At 46.0% G+C, this 16,467-nt stretch overlaps 1 protein-coding gene and 1 long non-coding RNA gene across 14 annotated transcripts in view, besides 14 other annotated features; one reads left to right on the forward strand and one right to left on the reverse strand.

Annotated features, from left to right (window-relative positions):
* The window catches only part of TGIF1 (TGFB induced factor homeobox 1), a 47,970-nt gene extending 33,338 nt beyond the window's left edge, over positions 1–14,632 (forward strand). For 2 of the 13 annotated variants that reach the window (NM_174886.3, NM_001278686.3), the window contains exons 3-4: positions 11,008–11,234; positions 12,019–14,632. In NM_174886.3, coding sequence (NP_777480.1) covers positions 11,052–11,234; positions 12,019–12,594 — 759 coding nt within the window. In that variant the 5' untranslated portion in view covers positions 11,008–11,051 and the 3' untranslated portion in view covers positions 12,595–14,632. Of the gene's footprint in view, positions 1–2,195; positions 2,452–3,084; positions 3,194–4,221; positions 4,311–4,360; positions 4,725–4,825; positions 5,160–6,246; positions 7,037–8,427; positions 8,511–11,007; positions 11,235–12,018 lie in introns of those variants that run through there. The other 11 variants (NM_173208.3, NM_001278684.2, NM_173207.4 and 8 more) reach the window with 11 other exon arrangements.
* On the reverse strand, positions 1,660–5,310 carry LOC124904237 (uncharacterized). Its single transcript, XR_007066269.1, has 2 exons — positions 5,186–5,310; positions 1,660–1,840 (listed from the first exon to the last, which is right to left on the reverse strand). It is a non-coding gene; the product is annotated as an uncharacterized LOC124904237 (long non-coding RNA).
* Positions 2,846–2,915: a silencer, noted in NCBI's record as "silent region_9254". NCBI's record gives its function as "represses an Ori minimal core promoter by ATAC-STARR-seq in GM12878 lymphoblastoid cells {active_cell/tissue: GM12878}" and the evidence as "EXISTENCE:reporter gene assay evidence [ECO:0000049][PMID:35858748]".
* Positions 3,037–3,658: an enhancer, noted in NCBI's record as "H3K27ac hESC enhancer chr18:3448381-3449002 (GRCh37/hg19 assembly coordinates)". NCBI's record gives its function as "activates a minimal SCP1, AML or CMV promoter by ChIP-STARR-seq in naive H9 embryonic stem cells {active_cell/tissue: H9 hESC(naive)}" and the evidence as "EXISTENCE:reporter gene assay evidence [ECO:0000049][PMID:30033119]".
* Positions 3,626–3,765: an enhancer, noted in NCBI's record as "active region_13045". NCBI's record gives its function as "activates an Ori minimal core promoter by ATAC-STARR-seq in GM12878 lymphoblastoid cells {active_cell/tissue: GM12878}" and the evidence as "EXISTENCE:reporter gene assay evidence [ECO:0000049][PMID:35858748]".
* Positions 3,626–4,278: a biological region, named in NCBI's record as "H3K27ac hESC enhancer GRCh37_chr18:3449003-3449622".
* Positions 3,659–4,278: an enhancer, noted in NCBI's record as "H3K27ac hESC enhancer chr18:3449003-3449622 (GRCh37/hg19 assembly coordinates)". NCBI's record gives its function as "activates a minimal SCP1, AML or CMV promoter by ChIP-STARR-seq in naive and primed H9 embryonic stem cells {active_cell/tissue: H9 hESC(naive and primed)}" and the evidence as "EXISTENCE:reporter gene assay evidence [ECO:0000049][PMID:30033119]".
* Positions 3,866–4,055: an enhancer, noted in NCBI's record as "active region_13046". NCBI's record gives its function as "activates an Ori minimal core promoter by ATAC-STARR-seq in GM12878 lymphoblastoid cells {active_cell/tissue: GM12878}" and the evidence as "EXISTENCE:reporter gene assay evidence [ECO:0000049][PMID:35858748]".
* Positions 4,576–4,685: a silencer, noted in NCBI's record as "silent region_9255". NCBI's record gives its function as "represses an Ori minimal core promoter by ATAC-STARR-seq in GM12878 lymphoblastoid cells {active_cell/tissue: GM12878}" and the evidence as "EXISTENCE:reporter gene assay evidence [ECO:0000049][PMID:35858748]".
* Positions 4,716–4,875: a silencer, noted in NCBI's record as "silent region_9256". NCBI's record gives its function as "represses an Ori minimal core promoter by ATAC-STARR-seq in GM12878 lymphoblastoid cells {active_cell/tissue: GM12878}" and the evidence as "EXISTENCE:reporter gene assay evidence [ECO:0000049][PMID:35858748]".
* Positions 5,516–5,565: a silencer, noted in NCBI's record as "silent region_9257". NCBI's record gives its function as "represses an Ori minimal core promoter by ATAC-STARR-seq in GM12878 lymphoblastoid cells {active_cell/tissue: GM12878}" and the evidence as "EXISTENCE:reporter gene assay evidence [ECO:0000049][PMID:35858748]".
* Positions 6,143–6,764: an enhancer, noted in NCBI's record as "NANOG-H3K27ac-H3K4me1 hESC enhancer chr18:3451487-3452108 (GRCh37/hg19 assembly coordinates)". NCBI's record gives its function as "activates a minimal SCP1, AML or CMV promoter by ChIP-STARR-seq in primed H9 embryonic stem cells {active_cell/tissue: H9 hESC(primed)}" and the evidence as "EXISTENCE:reporter gene assay evidence [ECO:0000049][PMID:30033119]".
* Positions 6,765–7,386: an enhancer, noted in NCBI's record as "NANOG-H3K27ac-H3K4me1 hESC enhancer chr18:3452109-3452730 (GRCh37/hg19 assembly coordinates)". NCBI's record gives its function as "activates a minimal SCP1, AML or CMV promoter by ChIP-STARR-seq in naive H9 embryonic stem cells {active_cell/tissue: H9 hESC(naive)}" and the evidence as "EXISTENCE:reporter gene assay evidence [ECO:0000049][PMID:30033119]".
* Positions 7,387–8,006: an enhancer, noted in NCBI's record as "H3K27ac hESC enhancer chr18:3452731-3453350 (GRCh37/hg19 assembly coordinates)". NCBI's record gives its function as "activates a minimal SCP1, AML or CMV promoter by ChIP-STARR-seq in naive H9 embryonic stem cells {active_cell/tissue: H9 hESC(naive)}" and the evidence as "EXISTENCE:reporter gene assay evidence [ECO:0000049][PMID:30033119]".
* Positions 9,871–10,490: an enhancer, noted in NCBI's record as "OCT4-NANOG hESC enhancer chr18:3455215-3455834 (GRCh37/hg19 assembly coordinates)". NCBI's record gives its function as "activates a minimal SCP1, AML or CMV promoter by ChIP-STARR-seq in primed H9 embryonic stem cells {active_cell/tissue: H9 hESC(primed)}" and the evidence as "EXISTENCE:reporter gene assay evidence [ECO:0000049][PMID:30033119]".
* Positions 12,272–12,832: an enhancer, noted in NCBI's record as "H3K27ac-H3K4me1 hESC enhancer chr18:3457616-3458176 (GRCh37/hg19 assembly coordinates)". NCBI's record gives its function as "activates a minimal SCP1, AML or CMV promoter by ChIP-STARR-seq in naive H9 embryonic stem cells {active_cell/tissue: H9 hESC(naive)}" and the evidence as "EXISTENCE:reporter gene assay evidence [ECO:0000049][PMID:30033119]".

Below are 16,467 nucleotides of genomic sequence, written 5' to 3' on the forward strand. Positions count from 1 at the left end.
GAAGGGGGCAGTTACCAGGTCGGCCATGTCTCACTTAGTATATTCTCTCTTGCTTGAATTTTCAGAACTTTTTTTGTAGTTAAAAAATGAGAAGAAGGCCGGGCGTAGTGGCTCACGCCTGTAATCCCAGCACTTTGGGAGGCTGAGGCGGGCGGATCATGAGGTCAGGATATCGAGACCATCCTGGCTAACATGGTGAAACCCTGTCTCTACTAAAAACACAAAAAATTAGACGGGCGTGGTGGCAGGTGCCTGTGGTCCCAGCTACTCGGGAGGCTGAGGCAGGAGAATGGCGTGAACCCAGGAGGCAGAGCTTGCAGTGAGCCGAGATTGCGCCACTGCACTCCAGCCTGGGTGACAGAGCAAGACTCTGTCTCAAAAAAAAAAAAAAAAAAAAAAAAAAAAAAGAGAAGAAAAGCAAAAAAAAAAAAAAAAAAAAAAGCGCAGACAGATTGGAAGAGAGCTTCTTGTAAAACTGGAGGTAGATTTCAGAGCACAACCCCCCACAGTGTTCAGGAGGCCCTGGCGTCCCTGGCATAATCTGAGGTTAGTTTCTGCCCTCCACATCCATCTGACCTTCTGAAATGACAAGATTTCCCAGAGACCACTTGATTTATAATCAGATAATTTATGTTGGGTACCCAGTTTTATGCCTTTTAACTTTGTTATATTTGGATGTGTTAAGTGATCTTGACTTTTTAAAAAAAATAACTAACATCACTAGTTTGGGCATTAAGTGAGATTAAATAAGTGTTTCATAAACTGTAAAGAATAATACAGACACAGATGTTGAGAATAAGGAGAGTGAAGCTTGTGCTCAAGGAATTATCTTTCCGTTTTTTTGTTTTTGTTTTTGAGACAGAGTCTTGCTCTGTCACCCAGGCTGGAGTGCAATGGCACGATCTCAGCTTTCTGCAACCTCTGTCTCCCAGGTTCAAGCAACCCTCCTGTCTCAGCCTCCCAAGTAGCTGGGACTACAGTCACACGCCACCACGCCCGGCTAATTTTTGTATTTTTAGTAGAGATGGGGTTTCACCATATTGGTCAGGCTGGTCTCAAACTCCTGACCTCAGGTGATCCACCCACCTCGGCCTCCCAAAGTGGTGGGATTACAGGTGTGAGCCACAGCGCCCTGCCTATCTTTTCGTTTTATCCCCTGGATTCCAAAACTCATTTAGGTAAAGAGAAGTGATGACTTGGCTACAGAGGAAAAAGGAGGGCCGGGAAGGGAAGTGCAGGCTAGGAAAAGTGACTAAAAACAAAAGTAGTAGCACCAGTTACACTATTCATGCAAGGAAGCTGAGGAGAATTATCCTGATGGGGCTGATAAAATCACCTCAAGATGGCTCTAGGCCACCCCAGGTTCTTAAGACAATGGTCAGCTCTTTCTTAAGCAGTCCAAGACCCTCTGACCTGAGATGTGACTGGATGATTACAGACCTCTTGTCCAGTGTTTAGAGCCTAGCTGTCTGCATATTTTATAAAGATATCTGCCTTCCAGAGACTGGAAGTGAAAGAGATCCAATGACTGGGTGAGTCACCCTTTCTCCACCTAGAACACAGTCCTTGATGGAACTCATGCTTTATCAATTGTTGTTGAGTAGAAGAAACAAATACATCCTCCAATCTTCACTTGGTGGACCTGGCATCAAAAAATAATCATATTAAGTGCGTTTATTAGTACACTTTTCTGGCTTATCTGCCTTTCCAAGTTTCTATTTGAGTTCTTGCCTTTGAAGGGTTTGCAGGCTGTGAAAAGTAACTTAACTTTTTAACAACTTTCTTTGCTTGGCCTTGAGGCAGCTTCAGAAGATAAGACGCCAAAAGGAACTATGTGTGCCTGGAGAGAAAAAAAATAATGGTGAAAAACGTTTATCAGTAGCCTCCGCCAGCACCAAGCAACGCCTCAATTTTACTCAAGCAATTTCCCAATTCAAGTAACATTCATATGAATCAGCAAATAATATGTAGCAAATTTGAATCTATATACTTTAAAAAAAAAAAAAAAGCACTGGAAAGAATCTTAAAAGTCATTGAATCCGTTTTATAGCAAGGCCCCGAGACTGGAAGGGACTGACAGAGCTAGAAATGAAACTTGTTTTTCCACCTCGAGAAAAACGAATCAACAAAAAATACCCTAAGCAATTGCTGGTATCTGAAGCCCACTTTTTTGAGGCTGTTCCCTTTGTTACGTTGCGCTGACCCTAGGCACTTTCTTCCCAGAATGCACCAAGAATCCGAAACTCCAAACAAGTTTGAGATCAGCGTTGGCTGGGGGGAGGCAGTGGGGGTGCATCTACGGGAGCGGTTGGGCTGTAAGCTTTCGCTACATCACAGAATTGTGCCAGTGTTTCTCTTTGGAGTGCCTCGCCAGCTTTAACAACCGTTTGGATATGACTTGCTCGGGCAAAAGTTGTGCATTGGCCCGATCAAGCCTGACTTCTAGCCAAGGTGAGTTCACATCTCCGTTTTTTCCTCCCCCTAATTCGAAAGAGGCTTTCAATTGTCTCCGCCCCTCCCCCCTTCTCCTGGAAAGTTTGTTTTCAAGCTATAAACCCTTTCCAATTCTCGGTTCCCATCTCGGTTGCCTGAGAATCGCAGTCATTAGCCAAGTCCACTTGGACGAAAGCAAAGCTACCTTTGTGTACATAATGAGAGCCACCGCGTGGCCAAGGAGAACCACGGGGAAGAGGGAAACATTTTTGTCTCGAGCTGGCTAAAGCGGGCGGGGGGGGAGGTAGGGTTAAACCGACCGAAGGCGTGTTTTGTGGAGTGGCTTCGAAAGCGGCCGAGGCAGCCGAAGCCGCTTTCGAAGTTAGCAAACAAAGCGTCTCCCCAGTAACCGCCCGGTTCCAGACGAGGCTCCTGCCACTCAGGCCGCGGAGTCGCAGCGTCGCCCAGCCCCCGGCTCCTCCTCCCTGCGTCTCTCCTCCCTCCGCTCCCGGCTCCCCAGCGGATAGGAGCCACCAATCCCAGCCACAGACAACCCTTCAAACGAAATAGCGAGGCGGCCCCCTCTAACGGGCGGCGGGGGCGCTGGCCCCCTCCCTGCGCCACATCTGTCCCGCACCGGGCGCAGCAGCTGATTCATCTGCAGCCAGGTCCGGGAAGGAACTGTGCTCCCGGCAGTTGCAGGGCAGCGTCCGGGCGGGTGGCTTGTCCCCAGGACCGCGCTCCCCCCGAGCCGTTTTAGGTGTGTGTTCTCTTCTGTCCCGAGCAGTCAGCAAACCACAGAAGAAAAAAATCGTAAGGTTGCTGCCTTCTTAGAGAGACGCTTTTTTTCCCTGTTGATTCATTTTAGTCCTGTAATTGGAAAAACCACCCAGGCTTTTTAAACTCTGGCCTCCACGCATTCTAGGGGCGGGGGTGTCTTTTTTTTTTTTTTTTTTTTTGAGGGAGGGTGGCAGGCTAGCTCTAGTTCCTGAAACAGACGCTCCGAAGTCGAGTTAGTTATCCCTTGGCCGTCTTAGTACTCCTCGGGTTTAATCTTATTTCCACAGAGTTTCTTCTGCCGGGATCTCCACCGAGGTTACCGAACAAAAACAGCACAGAGCCCAGACTGGAGGCAGACCCGGGCGCTGTCTCTGCTAGGCTTATTTACGTTTAGGGCTTTTCTTTCCTTTTTTTAAAGTGATGGGGGAAGTCTCATTGTGTGGCATGTGACAGTTCGTTTGCTTCAAAACAACAGGACGTAACCACGCGAAAACTAGAACCAGAGGAGGGGGCATGCGTTTCTTCAAGTCAGCCAAACAGCATCTGGTCTTTGAAAGCGCAATTTCATCAAGAAACTCCTGTTGGATCCCTCCTAACTGTGGACCAAAATAAGCCAACAGGAACGGGTGTTTACTTAATGGCTAGTTTCTGTTTGAAATGGGAGGAGGGATCCCCTAGCAGGGTTCCAATCCGAAGAGTAGACACTGTTGACCGAAACAGACGAGCAGGCACGGCGTGGTCACCCCTTAGCTATAAAAGTGGCCGCTGCCGGGGTTCGGCGACTCGGGGTGTCAGGCGGAGTCTTGGTGAGGCAGGCGCGCGCCCGGCCGTCCCCGGGCAGAGACGTTTAAAGAGCATGTGAGCGTGACAAGTGTCTGTCCGCAACGTGTCAGATTTCGAAACTGCCTTGCAATCCAGTCCGGAACTCGCAGCTTTAGCCCGGGGGAACAGACGTTCGTTTAGGCTGTGTCTCATCATTCCCCCCCGCCCCACCCCCGCCGACCTCCCACTGTCGCTGCTGGAGGAAGAGCCCCGGGAGGAGAAGGGTGCGCCGCGCCGCGCCCGCGTGTCAATGGCAGCCGCGCATTCTGGAAGAAGTTGGTTCTTGTCTCGAATACTTTTCCTCCCGTGCCCCGCCCCTTGAATCAGAGGCGGCTGTCTCGTGCGGCTAGAGCAGGGCCAGTAGAGTTCGGGGCAGCTGTCAAAAACGAGACGGGGAGGCTTTTCTTCCCGGGGGTGGAGGAGGGAAGGAGGGAGGTGTCCTTTTTTCCATCTGTTGCAGTTTCCGAACCAAACGCACCCTCGCCAGCCCCGGGAAGAAAGGCCCAAGGGAGAAACCTGGGGCGCTCGGCTGGTGCCCCCACCGCCGGGCGAGGGATGCGGGCGGTCCGTGCGCGGCAGGCGGAAAGGATCGTGTTTCTGGACCCGGCCACCCCCCGCGTCCGCACCGCCGCCCCCGAGGGACGAGTGACAGCGGCCGCCGCGCTCGGTCCAGTCTTCCCGGCTGGAAGGTGCGGGGGAGGGGCGGAGGAGCGGCGGGGCGGGAGGGGGACGGGGCGGGCGGCTGGGGGCGGAGGCAGGACCTCCTGTACCTTCCCTCCTCGCCTCTCTCACTCTGACAGCGCCGAGGTGCGCCGAGCAGGAGCAGGGAACAAAGGAGCGGAGAGGGGAGGGGAGAGAGTTGGGCGAGGGAGAGCCCCCGGCCGGCTGCCAGAAGATCCCGGCGGGAGGAAGCCCAAGTGTCACTTGAATTCCACCCAAGGAGCGGGCGCCTGGGATCAGAGCGTCCTGTTTAGCAATAACGGCTGGAGCACGTCCTACAAGTTACGGGAGAGTCGGCTGTGAAGGAGACGTTCGCTTATCCCCTGTGTCCCCGCTCCTGGCCCCTCCAGACCCCCGCCTTGCCTCGCGCTGGGAGGGGAGATCCAGAATGAAAGGCAAGAAAGGTAAGGCGGCCGCGGGCTGCGCGCACCAGAAGACGCGAGTCCGGGGAAACGTGCTGGCCGGGCCGCGCCGCGCGGAGTCACTTGGTGGACTTTTCCGCCCAGGGGCTCTCATGCTGGAGTGGCGGCCGTGCTCTTTGTTGAGGCTGCGTCTGAAACGGCAGCGGCTGTTTTCCTGCTAGACACAACACGAGGGGCTGTTGTGGGGCGAGCCTCTCCACGCTGCTGGCACGTTGTCAAGAAACACGCTCAGCGCCTTGTTTGTGCGCCTGCAAGTTTCATTGTCTCCGCCGACACCCCACGCTCGGCCCAGCCGCCGCGTGGCTTCTCGCTCTTTCTCGCGTGCTGGGGATATGGGGTCCGAGTAGGGAGGACCCAGCCCCTCGTTTTTCCCGATCCGGACCCAGGCGGCCGGGGCCGCGGGACCGCCGCGGCTTTGTCTGAAAGTTCCACTCCTAGGCTCCCCCCGCCCCCGCCCCCGCCGCCCCCCTACTCCCAGCCGGGCCCTAGCACTGTTCTTTAGGGATGTGGTGTTTTTACGATCGAAGGAATGCGATTCTGGACCCCCTCATCGCCCTCGGGTGTAAACAGCTTTGGAAAGCTAGACTTTTACAAATCCCCAGTCTCTAAAAGTTTTCCCACGATGAATTTTGGGGCAGGAGGAAGAGTTAGCACCCAGGGCCAGCAGCTTCAAGCGGCATGCAGTCAAAATGCGTCCAAATGTGACAAGCAGGCTTGGTTGTAAGTGCAAAGAGCAAGGCTGTCATTGTTTCCACGAAGTGTTCTGGAAGCTTTACAACTAAAACTTGCCGTCAGTTTGGTTTAAAAACAAAATACACCGGAGGGGGACGGGGGGTGGAGAAACCACACAAAACACCCCGAAAGGTCAGAGTGTGAAGTCCCTTTTGAAGTTAACAAAAATTGAGTCCCTGGCTGGGAGGTCCCCCGAGTGTTCCGCTGTGGGCTGGAGGTGGCGTTTCTGTCGTGATTTATGTGGAGTGGTTCAAAACAGAAGTTAATCACTCGGGAAGCGGACGGGAGGGGCGGCGCTACTGCGCATGCCCGGGAGCCGCCTGGAGTTTGGAACTCCACATTCTTTCAGACCCGGCCCGCTGCGGGGCGTTCCTGGGGGGTAGCCTCAAGGCCAGCGGGGTTCCTTCGGCTGCGTTTCTGTGGGAGGCCCTGAAACGCGCGGAGCTTCCCTCTGCCTCCAGGCTTTCCCAGCGAGAGTGAAATTAAACTTGAAACTCGGATCAACTGGCAGTCGTTGTTGGTAGAACGCCCTAAGGACCCCTCCCCGCGGGACGGAGGGAGGACTCGGGACAGGGAATTGGCCCTGGGAGAAAACGCGCGGGGGGCGTCCGAGACGCCCCGTGAAAGCCGTGCCGACCCTTGGGAGGACTGACAGGTCTAGAGACACGCGCTGTCTGTTGTGGTGGGCCTCCCGGGAATAAGTGAGGGGCTCTGTGTTTCGAGGATGGTTCTAGCGCAGAGCCGGGTGTCTGCCGGGGTGGGCTCCCCGCATTGTTCGGGCTCCGGCGGGGGCGGCTCTGATTCCTTTCCATGGCCCGCCTCCCACCCCGGGAATCCCCAGTGCTCCTTTTCCACGGCTTTTCTGGCGTCCCCCCGACTCTCCCGCGGCACTTTGGCCTACCTTCCCCCAGCGCCGTGGTCCTCCCTGGCGACCCCCTCTGCGCTCCTGGGGTCCTCCTGCGCCCCCCCTCCTCCACCGGCGCGCTGCCCACAGCCGCGTGCCCTCTCCCCGGAGCTGGGGACCAAGGCTGGGCCCCGCCGGCCGCATCGGTGGGAACTTCCGCGGTCCCCATCCCAGGGCGCACAGGGTCCAGCTCCTCGGCGCCGACTCCTGGAAACAATGAAAGGTGACGGGCTGAAGGGGAAACTTTGCGACTGGTTCAGGGCTCTTTGGGGGAGCCGAGGCTGCCGAGGTTACCCGGGTTTCTTTCCCCTTTTAGGTTTCCCTGGCGAGTCGTCTGGGGTGGGCAGGCCTCTGAGAAGGTGGGATTCACGGCCTCATTTCTAGTTTCTTGGGTCCTGGAGTTCCTTTGCTTGTGCTAACTCGTGCAGTGTGCGGGCCGGCCTGTTTCACTTGAGGCCGAGGAACTCTCAAGAACAAAAGCTACTTGCTTTTCCTCCTTGGGCCCCTCCCTCTCCCCGTGCTCCTCCGCCGTCCTCCTCTAAAACTACCTGGGAGGGGGGAGCCTTCCCCGTCGGCTCTGGAAAGACTCCTGAGGAAGTCGGGCCCTCCTTACTGTCTTGTCTTATAAAAGTCTGCAAATCTTTTCAAGTTTTCTTAAAACAAGTGCACTTTCAGCTCCATTCCTGAGCCCGGGGTAAGCTTGGTTTGTGATAATAGTGTGTCCTCCCAGAAAGCTGAGAGTGACGCCAAAAGATCTCCTAAAATGACTTAAAAACAATGAGAAGGATCGATAAGGAAAATCCACTAAGTCTTTTTGCTCCCAGTTTTTAACTGTTGAATTCCTGCTTTGGGATTGCTCTTTGGCTGGGGTAGCCAACCATACCTTGGATTTGGTGGCTTGAGTGTTCAATGCCTGTTGCTTCTCCCAAGGAGATACTGATTTTTTTTTTCTTTTGTTCCTGGAGACCGGGTCTGGCTATGTTGCCCAGGCTGGTCTCGAACTCCTGGGCTCAAGAAATCCTCTCGCCTTGGCCTCCCAAAGTTCTGGGATTACAGGCAAGAGACATTGCTCCCAGCTCAAAGGAGAACTTCTGGTCAGGAAACTTGTTGAGTTAAATTTGCTTTTTCCTAATTGTGCATCTCGACTTTTCCCATCAATCTTATTTCTAGAGTCTCTTCACAACCGGTGTCTCCCTGCCTCCCTGTCTCATGATGTTACCGAGCTATTCAGAAAAGAAAGTGCAGGGCTGGGCGCGGTGGTTCACGCCTGTAATCCCAGCACTTTGGGAGGCCTAGGCGAGCAGATCATCTGAGGTCGGGAGTTCGAGACCAGCCTGACCAACATGGAGAAACCCCGTCTCTCCTAAAAACACAAAATTAGCCGGGCGTGGTGGCTTTTGCCTGTAATCCCAGCTATTCGGGAGGCTGAGGCAAGAGAATCGCTTGAACCCTGGAGGCGGAGGCTGCGGTGAGCCGAGGTTGCGGCATTGCACTCCAGCCTGGGTGACAAGAGCGAAACTCTGTCTCAAAAAAAAAAAAAAAAAAAAAAGAACGTGCAGGAACAAGGTCGCTGCTTAGGGCGGTGGGATCCTCAGGCCATGTTGTGGCTTTCTCCACAACATTTCCTTGTATGTGGATAGCGTGAAAGAAGCTTGTGATCCTGCCCCCACCCTCCCCACCGCCACATTTTTTAAAGTGTAAGCAAAGCAAGACGTTTGGAAACAAGTCTTAACCGGGAAACTTTTCAAAAGCGCTGTTACAATAGGAAATGAGTAAGGAGGAAAAAAGTCTTTGTTTTTCCAAGCTGAGCCACAACTAGGAGGGAGAGTTTTAATGAAAACAGTCCTGACAGCAGCAAACGTGGTTTTACTGCAGTGAAATATCAGCTGGCGTAGCCAAGGCACTGAAGTCTTAACTTCCTGTTACTTCAGCTTTTGTGCACATATTGGAAATATTTGTTAAGAGTTCCAGAGGTCTGGCATTCATTTATTTAAATGAACTGAGAACAGAGTAAAGTCGCGCTGCAGTTTGGTGTTGCTTAACTGAAACCTGCTTTTGTGTGTCACTAACCTATTCTGAAAGATCAGGCTTCTTGTCAAACTAGGCAAGCAGATCAAAGGGCAGCCTTCAGGGGCTTTTTTTGTTTCAAACTCTTTGTGATTACCAACTTACAGTTGGGAATTCACTGTTCAATGAGCAAATTTTCACACTTTTTCTAGATTAAAAAAAGGAAGGAGATAATAGCCTTGAGAAGAATGTCTGGCTTTTCAGACGTTGGAGAGTTTAAACAAATTGCTTTATTCAAATTTGCTTTAGTCATTTAATTAACTTAACACTTTTTTTAAAAGTTCGATTTCTTTAATTATTAAAGCCAATGTGAGACAGGAACTCAGCTATAATTTCTTTAAGCTATTTTATTAATAGTTCTTCACCCAAATTTCAATATAGGTTTTGAAAGTCTCATCTTGCCAATAGTGAAAGTAGTTTCAGTTTTAAATGGGCACTTTTAAAAACCTTTTTAAAAACTTAAATCATCAGGGGAGGGGAATTTCAAATACATGGCAGTTAAAACTTAGGATTCTTGTGCAGTTTATTTGTAGCTGTTTGTTAAGCTGTGAGCTAAAGTGAATTTGCAAGATCATCCACCTCTTTGTTAGAACTTTACTTTGTCTTTGGAGAGTTCTGCCTTTTGTAGGAATACCCTGCAGCACCTTCTGCCCCCTGCAGTCCAAAACTAAAAATGTGTCACCAAGTCAGAGTCATTAAAAGGGTGGGAAAAATTCCTTTAAAAAACACGGTGTTTAGCTTAAGAGGAATATTCCGTGTTTATTTCCTGTCAAGGGGAACTGGCTCAATTAAGGTCAAGTCATATTTTCAACCAAAATTACATACTACAGAGGAAAGAAAGCATACAAAGCTAAAAATGCTTACCTTTACATTTTTGTTATTTTAATTACTTCCCCTAATATAGAAGTACTGATTTTTTTCAAGCATGCCATTGTTTGTAATTCATTTCTGTTTTTAAGATTCTAGATTGTCTACAAGCAAAAGAATGTATTTCTTTAGTCATTCGGAGTAGCCTGCTGTAGTTTTTGAAAGGTGGAATTAATAGCGTTTGTTATTTAATTTTTTTTAAGTTCAGAATGATGTTTAAATATCTGTAAAGGCCAGTTCTGGAGCTTTATTGAACCCCGTCCATCTGTGATTTAAATATTCTCTATGGCTTGTGAATTCTTAAAATTTCTGGCAGGATTAAAGTACTTACAGCCAAAAGAGCTTCCTCTGGGGCTTGCATATTCAGTTTCCTTTGTCATGTAATCATTTAAGACTGAACTCTGCTTATTGATATGTAGTATTCTATTCTAGGTTGAGCTCAAACTGGTAGCTGAAATTTAGGAGACATTTTTAATTCATTTAGTATTAGGCATCTTTTGACCTTACTAAAGTACCAGTAGTAGAAAAATATTTTTGTGTGATGAAACTGAAAACATCAGTGGTCGTATTTAATAAAAGGTGACTAGTACTGCCCATTTAAAGTAGGTGTCTAACTTTGAATAAATGTGGATAGCAATGAATAAGAAATGACCATGCATGGTGTTAGCAGAAAATTTTAACATGTGTTTTACCTTTAGAATACTAACTGGGTTCAGCGTAGTATGTAATTTTCCTTCCTTATATCCATGAAAAAAAATGTACGAGTGCTCCCTTTCATTTCAAACCTTCAGTAGAGGAAGGAGGAAGAGTAGCATTTAAAATGTACATTAGGACTGGTTAGGTTGCTTTTCCTAGTTAGCACTGATCTTAGAAAGAAGGTTGGTAGGCATATTCCAACTGCCACAGCACCCTTCCTGTTTCAAATGTGGCAGGTTATTCATTTTGGGTGCAGTTTGTCTCCTCCAATGATTAGACGAAAGAGTTTTCTGACCATCATTCAAAAGGAATGTGAGAAGTTAATGAATCCTAGAGGAAAGCGGCTGAGAAAAGGCATCTGGCATTTGGTTGAGAGCCTCCTATGTGGTGCTAGTCAAACTACTTTTACTTGGACCCTGAATTCAGGACAGAAAACACTGCTCCTTCTCCTCGCTCTCAGTTGTTGGGAAAGCATGGTTACATTGAATGGTCAGCGTTAAGTGAGCTTTGCAATAGTTGCTGTGCTTATAAAGCAACTGACAACTGGCCCTTGTCCTTTCCTAGGTATTGTTGCAGCATCTGGCAGTGAGACTGAGGATGAGGACAGCATGGACATTCCCTTGGACCTTTCTTCATCCGCTGGCTCAGGCAAGAGAAGGAGAAGGGGCAACCTACCCAAGGAGTCTGTGCAGATTCTTCGGGATTGGCTGTATGAGCACCGTTACAATGCCTATCCTTCAGAGCAAGAAAAAGCGTTGCTGTCCCAGCAAACACACCTGTCTACGCTACAGGTAAAGAAAGAGAGCGTGAGGTTTATGGATGCATTTTTAGTTTCAAAGTCATTTTATGGCATTCCTGTGTGTCAAGTCATTAAGCTCCTTGCCACTCAAAGACAGAAGGAATATCTTTTTATTGTAAACTTGATAGTGTTAAAAGCTAATAACTAGCTATTTAGAGAACACAGAAACACTTGACAGTCATCTATCAGATAGCATTTCCTTTAATGCCTAAAAGAACCTTCCTTTATGCAACAGACATTAAAAGGAGGTTAAACCTTACTCTATTGTCCAGGAAACTGGTTTGATATTTAAACAAGGACGACTTCAGTGAGGTAATTCATGTTATGTCTGTTGACACAGTCATTTGAACTGGGAAAAATCAGTTACTGGGAGGAGTGGCCCTTTTCATAAGGAGAGGTTTTCCTGTAGTTGATTAACTTAAATGTTGGGGCAGTAGGTGATAGGTTAAAATGGGGAGAGTTAAAAAGTAAACCTCTCTCTCAAATCATTTTTAAGCATTTGAGATTGTATGTCTTTTTCTTCGTCCTGAAAAGGTTTAAGTATGAAGAGACAAAAAAGGAAATTTGTATTAGAAACTAGAAGGCTTATGACAGGTGGTAGCTTGCTTTCTTGGCGGAGCTCAGATACCTTGAAATAACATTGTAAATTCAGATAAGGCTTTTCATGCTTTCTTTAATTCAGAGAGCAAGATCAATTAGGTACCCCATAGAACATTCTCAGAACCCGTTGGCTGAGTGAATGAGGAAAATGTTAAAGCGTACCGATATGATTTCAGGTCTGTAACTGGTTCATCAACGCCCGCCGCAGGCTCCTCCCTGACATGCTGAGAAAGGATGGCAAAGATCCAAATCAGTTCACAATTTCCCGCCGTGGGGCCAAGATTTCTGAAACGAGCTCTGTGGAGTCCGTGATGGGCATCAAAAACTTCATGCCAGCTCTAGAGGAGACCCCATTTCATTCCTGTACAGCTGGGCCAAACCCAACCCTAGGGAGGCCACTGTCTCCTAAGCCGTCATCCCCGGGATCAGTTTTGGCTCGTCCATCAGTGATCTGCCATACCACTGTGACTGCATTGAAAGATGTCCCTTTCTCTCTCTGCCAGTCGGTCGGTGTGGGACAAAACACAGATATACAGCAGATAGCGGCCAAAAACTTCACAGACACCTCTCTCATGTACCCAGAGGACACTTGTAAATCTGGACCAAGTACGAATACACAGAGTGGTCTTTTCAACACTCCTCCCCCTACTCCACCGGACCTCAACCAGGACTTCAGTGGATTTCAGCTTCTAGTGGATGTTGCACTCAAACGGGCTGCAGAGATGGAGCTTCAGGCAAAACTTACAGCTTAACCCATTTTCAAGCAAAACAGTTCTCAGAAATGTCATGATTGCCGGGGTGAAGGCAAGAGATGAATTGCATTATTTTATATATTTTTTATTAATATTTGCACATGGGATTGCTAAAACAGCTTCCTGTTACTGAGATGTCTTCAATGGAATACAGTCATTCCAAGAACTATAAACTTAAAGCTACTGTAGAAACAAAGGGTTTTCTTTTTTAAATGTTTCTTGGTAGATTATTCATAATGTGAGATGGTTCCCAATATCATGTGATTTTTTTTTTCCTCCCCTTCCCTTTTTTTGTTATTTTTTCAGACTGTGCAATACTTAGAGAACCTATAGCATCTTCTCATTCCCATGTGGAACAGGATGCCCACATACTGTCTAATTAATAAATTTTCCATTTTTTTTCAAACAAGTATGAATCTAGTTGGTTGATGCCTTTTTTTTCATGACATAATAAAGTATTTTCTTTAAAAATTGTTGTAATTCAGAGTATTTCTGTTGAGGGAGGTGCTTCTTAAAAATAAGTAGGAATATAGCACCCCAGTGAGCAGGAAGCTGGGGGGGTAGGGTGCAGTGTTAGGGGGTGTCACCAGCTCTTTGAAAACCTGTGGACAACAAGCCAGTTTGCATAAACAGGATGTGTGATATTTACTCTTGATAGGAGGCATAGCAGGCCCTTAGAGCTTTACTTAAACTGCATGGCAAATTGAAATGAATCATTTTAGTGTTTAGCTAGCCACTAAATCCCTTGCTGATCTGTCCTGCGTAGTTTAAAACGTGGCCATGTTATAAAGAAAAGTCTTGAAGCATCCGGTTATTGCTGAGTTTTCAGAAGAAAACAACGCAAGCAATCTCTTGCCCTTTTTCCACGTTACCCTTTAAAATAACCTTTGTTCAGTGGTACATTTAGTTAAGGCATTTGTATTCAAATGTAGCATAGTATTTGCAGAGAAATTACCTTTTAAAACATCTCAAAAGTGTTTTCTAAAATGATGAAATAAACGGTGGGGTTCTGTCTATGGTGGGATTGTCAGTTTATTAGGTGAGTATTTTCCAAGGTCTCAGTTTGTGAAAAAATGGTGCTATGTACAAGTGGAGTTTGTTGGGATAGACAATCACTTACAAAGCCCAGATGGCCAGAAGGGAATTGGTGTTGCTCCTTTCACTTGTATGGTTGAGCAGATTTGTCACATGCCACAAAACCATTCTTTGTAGTCATGCTTAGTATGAGCTTGCTTTGTTGTTACGGTCATGTTCTTTCCAGCCCTGCCCCAGCTATGAATTGTCTAAGTGTGAGGGAGCATCAGAGCTTCAGTATTGTTTAAAGAATGTAGAAAAATACAAATTTGTCTAATTTTGAAACTATTTTAGAAAGTCCCTACTGTAGAAAGAGCTAAACTCAAAGACTTTCCTTGTAAGTGAAAGAAAAAAACTGCTGATGATTACCAAGAGGCGTAAGAAAATTAGGTGAGGGAATGTTGTGCTCTAGCCTGTGGGGTGCAGCTTCGTAGGGCACATCAGCTTAGAATGGTCTGGCCTCACCTCAGAGAGTCACAGAAATAGACAAAAACCCAAAAAGTACTAGTAAAGTAAATACAAGGAACAAAATAAACATTAATAAAAATGAATGACGCAAAGGTGATCCAGAATCATTACTTGCTCCAACAGCTAGATCAAAGGCTGAACATTTTGCTTTAGTATAGATGAGGGAAATGAGCAAGTCCTAAAAGGTTTGCCCTGTTACGGTGTTTCATCACTCATACTGGAAGGAGAAGGAAAGGAGCCATATGACTCATTTAAAAGAAAAACTGTAAGTCACCTTAAATTCCCTATGTTTTACTTCATTTTTTCCCTATTGAGGTTGTTACAGGTCATGGTTGATAATAGTTGGTGTTGAATGAATGTAATCCATTATTTAAAAACAGGTACATTTAAGTGAAAAGATAAATGTAAAAAGCTGTTCATATCAAAGCCAAATAGAAATGATTTTTATGCTTATAATTTACATGGTGCAATATATCTTTTTAATTTGTTTACTTTTCACCTATTTGTGTTTTTGAAGTTCATCCCATAGCATATAGTTTGGGTCTTGCTTTTTTATTTAGTCTAATGATCTCTGCCTTTTACTTAGCATTTGTCAATTTACATTTACTGTAATTATTGATATGTTTAGATTGAGTTTACCATTTGGCTTTTTTCTTTGCTCCTCTTTTCCTGCCTTCTTTCAGGTTGAATATTTTTATTATATATCATTATATCATTATTATTATATATTATATATCATATATTAAGATATATGAGAATATCAGCATTCTCATATATATAATGTCTTTTTCTCTGATTTTGTTTTAATTTCTCTTTTTAAAAAAGTATTCTTTTTTTTTTTTTTTTTTTGAGACGGGGTCTCGCTCTGTCACCCAGGCTGGAGTGCAGTGGCGTGATCTTGGCTCACTGCAACCTCCACCTCCTGGGTTCAAGGGATTCTTGTGACTCAGCCTCCCAAGTAGCTGAGATTACAGGCATGCACCACCATGCCAGGCTAATTTTTTTGTATTTTTAGTAGAGATGGGATTTCGCCATGTTGCCCAGGTTGGTCTTGAACTCCTGGCCTCAAGTGAATTGCCCTCCTCAGACTCCCAAAGTGCTGGGGTTACAGATGTGAGCCACCAAGCCTGGCCTATTTTTATAGATTTAGGGGGTACAAGTACAGTTTTGTGTTTTAATTTTTCTATTGGTTTATAAACTATACACCATATTTTTAAAATGGTTCTTCTAGGTATTACAGCATACATCTTTGACCTACTACCATCCACTTAGGGTTAATATGATACAGCTTCATAAAATACAGAACCTTGGAACAGTATAGTTCCATTCACCCTCTCCTCTCTTCCTTGGTTTTTCACATATATTACAGCTACATACATAATAAACGCAACAGTACGATGCTATCATTTTCACTTAAAACAAGCGTCATTTAAATGATTAAGAGAAAAAAGAATGTATCTTTTATATTTGCCAAACATTGACCATTTCTGATGTTCTTCATTGTCTCCTATAGATTTGAGTGACATCTGAGGTCTTTCCTTTTCAGCTTGAATGATTTCTTTGAGAACTGTAGTCCAGTGACAAGTTTAGGCTCATTGAAACGCTTTGAAAATGAGTTCATGGAAAATGACTTTATTTCACTTTAATCTTTGAAGGATCATTTCACTGATGGGGAATTCTGGGTTGATAGCTTTTTTTCTTACAGCACTTGGCAGGCATTTATTGTCTTTTGGCCTCCATTGTTTCTGATGAGACATCAGCTGTCATTTGTATCATTCTCATAAATATAATGTCTTTCTCTGGCTGTCTTATTTTTGAATTTCAGCAGTGTCACTAAAATATGCCTAGGTATGGTTTGTTTGTACTTATTTAGCTGGGGGTTCATTGAACTTTTGGATCTGTAAATCTATTTTTTTTATTTATTTTAAAATCAAACTTGGGGAAATTTTGGCCATTTTTTCCATTTATTTCTTGCTTTCCTGTCTCAGAACTCCAGCAAATTTACATTAGATCACTTGAGGTTGTCCTGTATGTCTCTGAAGCTCTTTTCTTCAGTCTTGTTTCTGTTTTAGATTGAATAATTTGTATAATTTATTTGCAATTCACTAACTCTTCTGCTGTCTTCAGTCTGCTCATGAACGTATCCAGTGGACTTTCATTATAGTACTAGTATTTTTCACATGTAAAATTTCCACTTGGTTCTTTAGTATTCCTAATTCTCTGAGATTCCTCATTACTAATTATGAATATATATCCTTATAAGCATTTATAATAGCTGCCTTAAATACTTGTTTGCTAATTGTAACATGTCCTAATCAGAATCAGTTTCCA

Source organism: Homo sapiens, chromosome 18 (genome assembly GCF_000001405.40).
Source record: "Homo sapiens chromosome 18, GRCh38.p14 Primary Assembly".
Taxonomy (NCBI): Eukaryota; Metazoa; Chordata; class Mammalia; order Primates; family Hominidae; genus Homo; species Homo sapiens.